This window comes from Homo sapiens, chromosome 11, assembly GCF_000001405.40.
Source record: "Homo sapiens chromosome 11, GRCh38.p14 Primary Assembly".
Classification (NCBI taxonomy): domain Eukaryota; kingdom Metazoa; phylum Chordata; class Mammalia; order Primates; family Hominidae; genus Homo; species Homo sapiens.
Genome location: NC_000011.10, coordinates 13,609,817 through 13,620,976, shown reverse-complemented (window position 1 = coordinate 13,620,976; position 11,160 = coordinate 13,609,817). Strand labels below are relative to the sequence as shown.

Sequence of the window (11,160 nt, the reverse complement as noted above, 5' to 3'; positions counted from 1 at the left end):
GCACCAGGACTTGTTCCTGGCCCCTACTGGCTCCTGAAAAAGGTGTGAATTAAATAGGCAAAGAGTGGCCCACTCTTACCCCAAACCTCCAGAATCCTAACTGCAGGAGACCCCATGACCCCCCACAGACATTTGAGCTGGAAGGGAGAGCTGCTTGAAGAAGTGGCAGGGACAGGACTCCAGCCTGTGTGGGGCCTAGAGGGTTTGGTGTGGAAACAGCTGAAGTGAAGGATGGCCAGGGACACCCATTCCCCACGGTTCACCATGCTTATTTAGATGGCTTTGGCCTTTGTTGACTGTTAGACCTGGTCAGAACAGGGCTATCTTGTCCATGGGATGGGGCCAGTCTGATCTGAGCATTGTCCTGTCTACCAGTCTCTCCTGGGGTTCCTCCACAGCCATGCCTGCTTGCAGCTCAGCCTTGGAGGCCCAACCAGGGTACTTCCTTGTGGCTGCCACCACAGCTCCTTCAACAGCAAACCCTGTATAACATTGAAGAACTTCAGCAGATGGGTCCCTGCCAATGTGCACCCACCAGCAGCTTCCCCCTACCACTGTGCCTGCACGTACCTGGCCACAGCCTACCCCTATTGGTTTCCATGTGTGTTTATGTGTTATGTGTATGGACTTCACTGCCCTGCTGCTGCTGACACATGTGTGGACCTCATTGTGTTGCCACCCTGTTGCTACTGGTGCACATGGACCCTGCTGCACTGCCACCATTGGCACATGTGCATGCAGACCCTGCCATGCCACTGCCAAGCTGCTGCCAGCACATGAACATAGACCTCGTTGCCACTGTCCTGATGAAGCACTTTATCTGGCACCCACCATCAGAGTGTTGTTGCCAGCAGACTGGAAACATCTTGACCTCTCTAGCACAGCAGGTGCTTAACCTTGGGGGCCAGAGAACAAAGCTGTGGCCTGATCCCAGGCCCCTGTGGTTGGAACACATAGCCCAGGAGTGCTGAGATGAGGTTAGGCACCCTGAAATCATTCAGAAATGAAGCCAGTCAACTGAACCCAAATTACACCATAGGCAAACCCTCGAGAGCATCAAAGAATATTAAAGCAAAAACCCCTCCCCAAAGGACAGCAACTTCAAAGATTAAAAGAACATCAGCCCACACAGATGAGAAAAAGCAGTGCAAGAACTGGCAGCTCAAAAACCAAGAGTGTATTCCTACCTCCAAATCTCCAAATGATTGACCTAGCTCCCCAGCAAGGGTTTTTTTTTTTTTTTTTTTTTGAGACGGAGTCTTGCTCTGTCGCCCAGGCTGGAGTGCAATGGCATGATCTCAGCCCACTGCAACTTCCGGTTCCCAGGTTCAAGTGATTCTCCTGCCCCAGCCTCCTGAGTAGCTGGGATTACAGGTGGCGCCACCACACTTGGCTACTTTTTGTAGTTTTAGTAGAGATGGGGTTTCACCATGTTGGTCAGGCTGGTCTCGAACTCCTGACCTGGTAATCCACCTGCTTTGGGCTCCCAAAGTGCTGGGATTACAGGCGTGAGCCACTGCGCCTGGCCAGCAATGGTTCTTAATCAGGCCGAAATGTGTGAAATGACAGACTTAGAATTCAGAATCTGGATGGAAATGAAGATTATCAAGATTTAGGAGAAAATTGAAACTTTCCAATCCAAGGAATGTAAGGAATACAGTAAAATGATACAAGAGATGAAAGATGAAATAGCCATTTTAAGAAAGAACCAAACTGCCAAACTGATTTGATAGAGCTGGAAAACTCACTACAGGAATTTCATAATATAATTGAAAGTATTAATAGGAGAAAAGACCAAATTGAGGAAAGAATAGCAGAGCACAAAGACTAGTTCTTTGAATCAACTCAGTCAGACAAAAATAATTTAAAAAGAATGAAAAAGAATGGATGAAACCTCTGAGAGATATGGGATTAGATGAAAAGACCAAATTTACAACTCATTGGTGTCCCTGAAAGAGAGGGAGAGCAAGCAACTTGGAAAACATATTTGGAGATACTCTCCACAAAAATTTCTCCAACCTTGCTAGTGAGGTCATATTCAAATTCAGGAAATTCAGAGAACCCCAGTGGCATACTATACAAGATGACCATCCCCAAGAGACCTACTCACCAGATTCTCTAAAGTCAATGTGAAGGAGAGCATATTAAAGGCAACTAGAGAGAAGGGGCAGGTCACCTACAAAAGGAACCCCATCAGACTAACAGTGGACCTTTCAGCAGAAACTCTACAAGCCAGAAGAGATTGGGCGTGTACATTCAACATTCTTAAAGAAAAGAAATTCCAACTGAGAATTTCATATCTAGCCAAACAAAGTTCACAAGCAAAGGAGAAATAAAATCCATTTCAGACAAGCAAATGCTAAAGGAATTTATTACCACCAGACATGCCTTGTAAGAGGTTCTTAAGGAAGTGCTAAGTATAGAAATGAAAAACTGTTACCAGCCTCAACAAAAACACACTTAGGTACATAGACCATTGACACTATAAAGTACCTATACAATCAAGTCTACATAACAACCAGCTAACAACACAATGACAGGATGAATTTACAGATGTTGATATTAACCTTGAATGTAAATGGGCTAAACGCTCCACTTAAAAGTCCCAGAGTGGCAAGTTGGATAAAGAAGCAAGACCCAACTGTATGGTATCTTAAAGAGACCCATTTCACATGCAGTGACACCCATAGGCTGAAAGTGAAGGGATGGAGAAAGATCTACCAAGCAAAGGGAAAATAAAAAAAGGCCAAGAGTTAATATTCTAATTGCAGACAAAATAGAGTTTGTCCCATCCAAGTAGTAACAGGCCCAACCCTGCTTAGCTTCCAAGATCAGACAAGATAGGGAGTATTCAGGGTGGTATGTCTGTAGACTGGACAAAATAGGCTTTAAACCAACAAAGATCAAAAAGAACAAAGAAGGATACTACATAACAATAAAGGGTTCAATTCAACGAGAAGACTTAACTATCCTAAATATATATGCACTCAACACTAGAGCACCCCGATTCATAAAACAAGTTCTTAGAGACCTGAGAAGAGACTTAGATAAGCACACAATAAAAATGATAGACATTAACACCCCCACTGGCAGTATTAGACAGATCATTGAGGCAGAAAAAAAACAAAAATATTCAGGACCTAATTCAACACTTGATCAAATGGACCTAACAGATATCTATAGAACACTCCACCCAACAATAACAGAATATACACTCTTTTCATTTGCAAATGACAGACACTCTAAAATCCACCACATACTCAGCTGTAAAGCAATTCTCAACAAATTCAAAAAACCCCAAATCATAGCAACCACATTCTCAAATCAAGCACAATAAAAATAGAAATCAATACTAAGATCTTGCAAAACCATACAATTACATGGATATTAAACAACATGCTCCTGAATGACTTTTGGGTAAATAATGAAATTAAGGCAGAAATGAAGAAATTCCTTGAAAGTAATGAAAACAAAGATACAACATGCCAGAATCTCTGGGGCACAGCTAACACAGTGTTAAGAGGAAATTTTATAGCACTAAATACCCAAATCAAAAAGTTGGAAAGATATTAAATTAACAACCTAACATCACATCTAGAGGAACTAGAAAATCAAGAGCAAACTAACCTCAAAACTAGCATAAGAAAATAAATAACCAAAATCAGAGCTGAACTGAATGAAATTGAGACATGAAAAACCATACAAAAGACCAATGAAACAAAAATTTGGTTGTTTGAAAGAATAAATAAGATTGATAGATCCATAGCTAGACTAATAAAGAGAAAAAGATGATCTAAATAAACCCAATTGGAAATGAGAAAGGGGACATTACCACAAACCCTACAGAAACACATAAAACCTTCAGAGGCTATTTTAAACACCTCTATACACACAAACTAGAAAATCTAGAAAAGTGGACAAATTTCTGGAAGTATATAGTCTCCCAATATTGAATCAGGAAGAAACTGAAACCCTGAATAAACCAATAACAAGGTTCAAAATTGAATAAATAATGAAAAATCTACCAACCAGAAAAAGTCCTGACCAGACTGATTCACAGCCAAATTCTACCAGACATATAAAGAAGAGCTGGTACCAATCCTACTGAAACTATTCCAAAAAATTGAGGAGGAGAGACTCCTTAACTCATTCTATAACACCAGCATCACTGTGATATCAAAACCTGGCAGAGACACAATGAAAAAAGAAAACTTCAGGCTAATATCCCTGATGAACATAGATGTAAAAATGCTCAACAAAATACAAGCAAACTGATTTCAGCAGCGCATCAAAAAGCTAATCCACCATGATCAAGTAGGCTTTATCACTGGGATACGAAGTTGGTTTAGCATATGCAAATTAATAAATGTGATTCATTGTTTAAACAGAACAAAAAGCAAAAATTACATGATTATCCAATAGATGCAGAAAAGGCTTACAATAAAATTTAACATCCCTTCATGTTAAAACCCTTCAACAAACTAGGCATTGAAGGAACATATCACAAAATAATAAGAGCCATTTATGACAAACCCACAGCCAACATCATACTGAACAGGTGAAAGCTGGAAGCATTCCTCTTGAGAACTTGAGAAAGATAAGGATGTCCACTCTCACTTCTATTCAACATAATACTGGAAATCCTAGCCAGAGCAATCAGGCAAGAGAAAGAGATAAAAGGCATCCAAATAGGAAGAAAGGAAGTCAAACTATCTCTCTTCACAAACAATATGATCCCATACATAGAAAACTCCATAGTCTCTGCCCAAAGGCTCCTAGAACTGATAAACAACTTCGGCAAAATTTCAGAATACAAAATCAATTACAAATATTAATATAAAATTTCTATACACCAATAACTTCCAAGCTTAGAGCCAAATCAGGAATGCAATCCCATTCACAGTAGCCACACACAGAAAAATAAAATACCTCAGAATACAATTAACTAGGGAGGTGAAATATCTCTGCACAAAGAATTACAAAACACTGCAGAAAGAAATCACAGACTGCACAAACAAATGGAAAAACATTCCAGGCTCATGAATTAGAAGAATCAATATTGTTAAAATGGCATACCGCCAAAGGCAATGTACAAATTCAATGCTATTTCTATTAAACTGCCAGACATTTTTCATAGAATTAGGAAAAAACTATTCTAAAATTCATGTAGAACTAAAAAAAGAGCTTGAATAGCCGAAGCAATCCTGAGCAAAAAGAGCAAAGCTGGGAGCATAACACTACCTGACCAGACTTATACTACAAGGCTACAGTAACCAAAACAGGATGGTACTGGTACAAAAACACATAGAACAATGAAACAAATTAGAGAACCCAGAAATAAAGCTGCACACCTACAACCATCTGATCTCTGACAAAGTCAGTAAAAACAAGTAATAGAGAAAGGATTGTCTATTCAATAAATGGTCCTGGGATAGCTGACTAGGCATATGCAGAAGATTGAAACTGGCCTCCTTCCTTTCACCATATACAAAAATTAACTCAGGATTGATTAAAGACTTAAATGTAAAACCTAAAACTATAAAAGCTCAGGAAGAAAACCTTGAAAAGATCATTCTGGACATAAGACCTGGCAAAGATTTCATGATGAAGACTCCAAAACAATTGCAACAAAAACAAAGGTTGACAAATGGGACTTAGTTAAATAAAGAGCTTCTGCACAGCAAAAGAAACTATCAACAGAGTAAACAGACAACCTATAGAATCAGATAAAATATTTGCCAAATATGCATCTGACAAAGGTCTAATATCCAGAATCTATAAGGAACTTAAACAAATTAACAAGCAAAAAACAAGCAACCCTACTAAAAAATGGGCAAAGGACATGAACAGACACTTCTCAAAAGAAGACATATGCACATCCAGCAAGCCTATAAAACAAGCTTATAAAAAATGCTCTACATCACTAATCATAAGAGAAATGCAAATCAAAACCACAATGAGAGTCTATCTCACATTAGTCAGAATGGCTATTACTAAAAAGTCAAGGAAAAAAAGCAAAAAAAAAAAAAACAAAAAACAGATGTTGATGAGGGTACAGAGAAAAGGGAATTTTTATACACTGCTGCTGGGAATGTAAATTAGTTCAGCCATTGTGGAAAGTAGTTTGGATATTTCTCAAAGAACTAAAAATAGAACAACCACATGTCCCAGCAATCTCATTACTGGATATATACCCGAGGAAAATAAATTGTTCTACCAAAAAGACACCTTCACTCATATGTTTATTGCAATGCTATTCACAATAGCAAAACATGGAAACAACCTAGGTGCCCATCAATAGTGGATTGTATTTTTAAAATGTAGTATATATATATTATGGAATACTACACAGTCATAAAAAAGAATGAAATTATGTCCTTTTCAGGAACATAGATATAGCTGGAGGCCATTATCCTAAGCAAATTAATGCAGGAACAGAAAGTCAAACATTGCATGTTCTCACTTATAAGTGGGAGCTAAACACTGAGTACATATAGATGCAAAGAAGGAAACAATAGAAACCAGGGCCTGCTTGAGGTTGGAGGGTAGGAGGAGGGTGAAAATAAAAAAACTACCTCTCAGCTACTATGCTCATTAACTGGGTGATGAAATAATATGTATACCAAGCCCCTGTAATGTGCAATTTACCCATGTAACAAACCTGCACATATACTCCCTGAACCTAAAATAAAAGTTGGAAAGAAAAAAATTATGGGCTATAATGTCATCATTTGTTCAGTTCTCCATGTAAATGCCTTAATCACAGAGAATCAACCAAAGTACAAATTAAGTTCTCTCTGAAAATATAAAACCTAAAAATCATATAATTTATCATACAATTTACCAATGAAGACCATCCTCAAAAATTACTTGGCCCCTGTCTGTATTTCCTGCAAAGGGATCTGTTAAACGTGTTGAATAAGGATAGATACTATGAGACAGCCCAAATAGAACTTGTTATGGACTATATATTCCAGGCAACTTATCCTCATCCACTGAACATGTTTCCTGTTTGTCTTTGGCTGTGTTTGGTAAAAACCCTAAAACTGATACTGAGCTTCATGTCCTCACAGTGGGATGTGGAAGAGTCTCTTCCACTGCAATTATAGCTGTATTATTAGGACCTGAATTCCTATATACAGCGTGAAGGAAAAAACTGTATTGGTCTTGTTACAGTTTAAGTGTGTCCCCTACAAGGTTATGTGTTGGAAAGTTAATCCCTCTGCTCTCATGAATAATGAGAGTTCTCTCATGAATGGATTAATGGTACTATCACCAGAGTGGGTTCATCATCACAGGAATGGCTTTATAATAAAAGTGAGCTTCCTCTGGCTCTCTTGCTCTTGCCTTCTCACCATGTGATGCCTTCTGCCATGTTTTGAAGAAGCAAGAAGGTCCTTGTCAGATGTCAAGCAGATGCTCTTGGACTTCCCAACCTCCAGAACTGTGGGCCAAATATGTGTCTTTTCTTTATAAATTACTCAGGCTGTGGTATTGTGTTACAGCAAAATGAAATGGACGAAGACAGTCTTGACCGCTCCAATCTTCTCAGTGGCTGGCACGTAGTAGATGTTTACAAAATTTTGGTTAATGTGTAAATAAATAAAATAAAACATTCCTACTTACAGCCAGAGGTTCATTTCCTCTGGGACATTATAGACATATATGTATGTACGCATTTATTAGGTTCTTAATTACACCCACAAAGAGTACTGTCGTCTTTAGAAAAATGAAACACTGTAAGCAACAGTTCTTCTAAGACTGTTAGTCCTTAATGTGGTGATAAAATGACCCAATGCCAACTCCCACATATTTCCAATTTAGCAAACCAACTCAGAGGGGCTCATGTTTTCAGAAAGACAGGCCTTCAGGTTAGAAAAAAATTATATCCAACTGTAGGAGACCACCAATAGAAGATGACTTTCCCAATATACATATTTGGGTCCTTCAGTCCATGCAACACTAGCAGTTTGAAACAATTTATGATAATAATTTTTCAAGGTGGGGGTAAGAAGGGATGTAGAATGAATAATTATAATATAATTATTAAATGACATCTGATTTCCTCCCCAGACCTAGCCTCATAGGAACTCCTGATGCTTACATTCCTGGGCTTTCCATTGCATAGTCACCACAGAGCAGTTTATGTTTTCCAAGGTGTGGGTCATATCTTGTGCCTCTAGATAATGCACAAAATAGCTAACAAGACATTCATCATCTATGAGGGGAGAACACTATTTTGTCAATTATACTTTGGCTTCTCAGTGCTTCCATAACCCGTTTAATTAATTAGCTGGATCATGACTGACAAAGCACATTTATACTAAGCCTTCATGTGCTTTGGGAACCCAGGAAGAGTCAATCAGACTACGAGAAGAGCAGGAGCTGTAGTACAGCCAAGCTTCCCAGGAGCAGAAACTGGAGCCAAGGCAGTCCTTCAGACCTCAGCACAGGAGTTTATTGATCCTCACTTTAATACTCTGTCATCAGTAAAAGTCAGCTATTTTCTTCATATGCCCGTTTCTTTACTGATGACTTCCTCCTCTTCTACTCTCATTGTGCCCTTTGTGTGCCTCATGACTTTGGCTTATTTCTAGTTTTTTAATCTCTCTGTCTTTACTTTACACATGGCCTAGCATGGTTTTGACAGATTCTCTCTGTATCGAAAACTTTCTCCTTTAGCTCCCACTAATAATATGCTTCTGTTTCTTACTATTTGTTGATTCAAAGATGTGAGAGTGGAAATCTGATTATCCAAGCTCATATTTTCACAGCATCACAGCAAACAATGTCATAGGTTATAGTCAGTCTGTGGATTGGGATTGCCCATGACTAGGGTTCAGATTCAAAGAGAGAGAGAGAGAGAGAGAGAGGACACATCTGGTTAAAATTATAGGTTGTGGAATCAGACTGCAAAGGCTGAAATATTGTCCTGCCACTACCATGTGTCTATGGTATTCTCTCTGAACATCCATTTATTCACCTGTAAAATAGAGATAATAAATGTGCCCATACAATAAGCTTGTTGTGAGTTAGTATGTGTAAAGCATCTACCACAGTGCCTGGAACATGGTAAACACTCAATAAATGTTAGTTATTATAATATTACTACTAGTAGCAGTATTTTAGGACAACTCCTCAGATGGGATAGTTTCTCTTAGAATTAAAAAAAATTTAAACCCATAAATACTTAAGAATAAATCTAGCAAAAGATGCACAAGACTTCTACATAGAAAATCACATACGGCTGGGTGCAGTGGCTCACACCTATAATCCCAGCACTTTGGGAGGCCGAGGCAGGCAGATCACCTGAGGCCAAGAGTTCCAGACCAGCTTGGCCAACATGCTGAAACCTTGTCTATACTAAAAATACACACAAAAATTAGCTGGGCATAGTGGCACGTGCCTGTAGTCCAAGCTACTCAGGGAGGCTGAGGCAGGAGAATCGCGTGAACCCAGGAGGCAGAGGTTGCAGTGAGCCAAGATCGTGCCACTACACTCCAGCCTGGGCAACAAAGGGAGACTCTATCTCAGAAAAAAAAAAAAAGAAAATCACAAAACATTATTGAAAGAAGTTAAAGAGATACAATTACGCATGTTATAAAACTGAATATTATAAAAATATCAGTTCTTATCCAAATTTTTCCTAGATTTGGTGTCATTTTAATCAAGATGCCAGTAGGTACTTTTGTATATGTGGAAACTGACAAACTGACTTAAAAATTTATTTGGAAAAACAAAGAGCTAGGAGTAGCATCATACTTTTATAAAAGAACAAAGTTCTTACTCTATAAAGCAGAAAAACTTCTTATAAAGTTACAGTAATTTAGACAGTGTGGAATTGTCAAAAGAGAAGATGAATAGACCAAAGAACAGAATAGAAGATCCAGATAGACCCAAGGAATGTAGATACCTGATTTATGATGAAGATTTTACTGAAGATCAATAAGTGGTGCTAAGTTAATTAAATATCAATAAATAATATGTAGATATAGCTTGATCTCTACCATACATTAAGCACAAAATAAATTCCAAGTAAACTGTAGGTATAATGTGGAAACTAGTAATCTATAAGGCCTCTACAGTATTACAGAGAATATTATCATGATTTTAGAATATACAAAAATATTTGATAAATTGAATTAGGTTAAAACTAAGAAATATCGTTCATGAAAAGACACCATTAGGAGAAAAAGCTTTAGAGTGAAGAAGAGGTGAGAATGGCTCCTGGACCAACCACAGCCACTGCATCCTGCGGCCACTGCATCCCATGCCCAGCACCTACCACCCACCACAATCTCCGACACCATGCCCAAGAAGAAAGGCTAAAGGGGATGCTAAAGGAGTTAAAGCCAAGGTGAAGGACAAACCACAGAGAAGATCTGTGAGGTTGACTGCTAAACCTGCTCCTCCAAAGCCAGGGTCCAAGCCTAAAAAGGGCCCTGCAAAGAATGGAGAGAAGGTACTCAAAGGGAAAAAGGGAAAAGCTGATGCTGGCAAGGAGGGGAATAACCCTGCAGAAAATGGAGAGACCAAAACAGACCACGCACAGAAAGCTGAAGGCGCTGGAGATGCCAAGTGAAGTATGTGCATTTTTGATAACTGTGCACTCCTGGTGATGGTACAGTTTGAAATATTATTTTTATCATGTTTTACGAAAATGCAGAATTCTGTTTTAAGTTATGCTGTTAGCACACAGAACACTTGTTTTTGGGGGAAGGGACATACGTCACTAATAGAATGTCTCCAAAGTTGGATTGATGTGGAGAAAACACCTTTCCCTTCCAGTTTTGAGAGACTTCCTCTTGGCTCCCAGGAGGAGGGATTCCATGACTTTGAGACACATGGCCACCTTGGCACAAAACCTTTGTGGTATGAAAAAACAAATTCATTTTTTATGTCATTGTCTCCCTTTCCACCTTTCAACATAGAATTAACTCCCTTAAATCCAGACACCTGTTGGGACTGACCCCCAGTCATTGGTTACCAGTGTGTCAGGCAATCTGGACTTCCCAGTGATGCCACTGAGATGGTGCCCTTCAAAACAGCAGTGGTTCTGTTTCTAGATTGTGGATCTTCAGATAAATTCTGCCATTTTTTTTTCAGTTCCTGAGAGTCAGGGTCGGCTCGTGAAAAGTTGTTAAACAACATGCTAAATAT

At 39.0% G+C, this 11,160-nt stretch overlaps 1 pseudogene; it reads left to right on the top strand.

Moving 5' to 3' along the window:
- On the top strand, nt 10,204-10,778 carry HMGN2P36 (high mobility group nucleosomal binding domain 2 pseudogene 36; annotated as a pseudogene).
- Nucleotides 10,779-11,160: the final 382 nt, after the last annotated feature.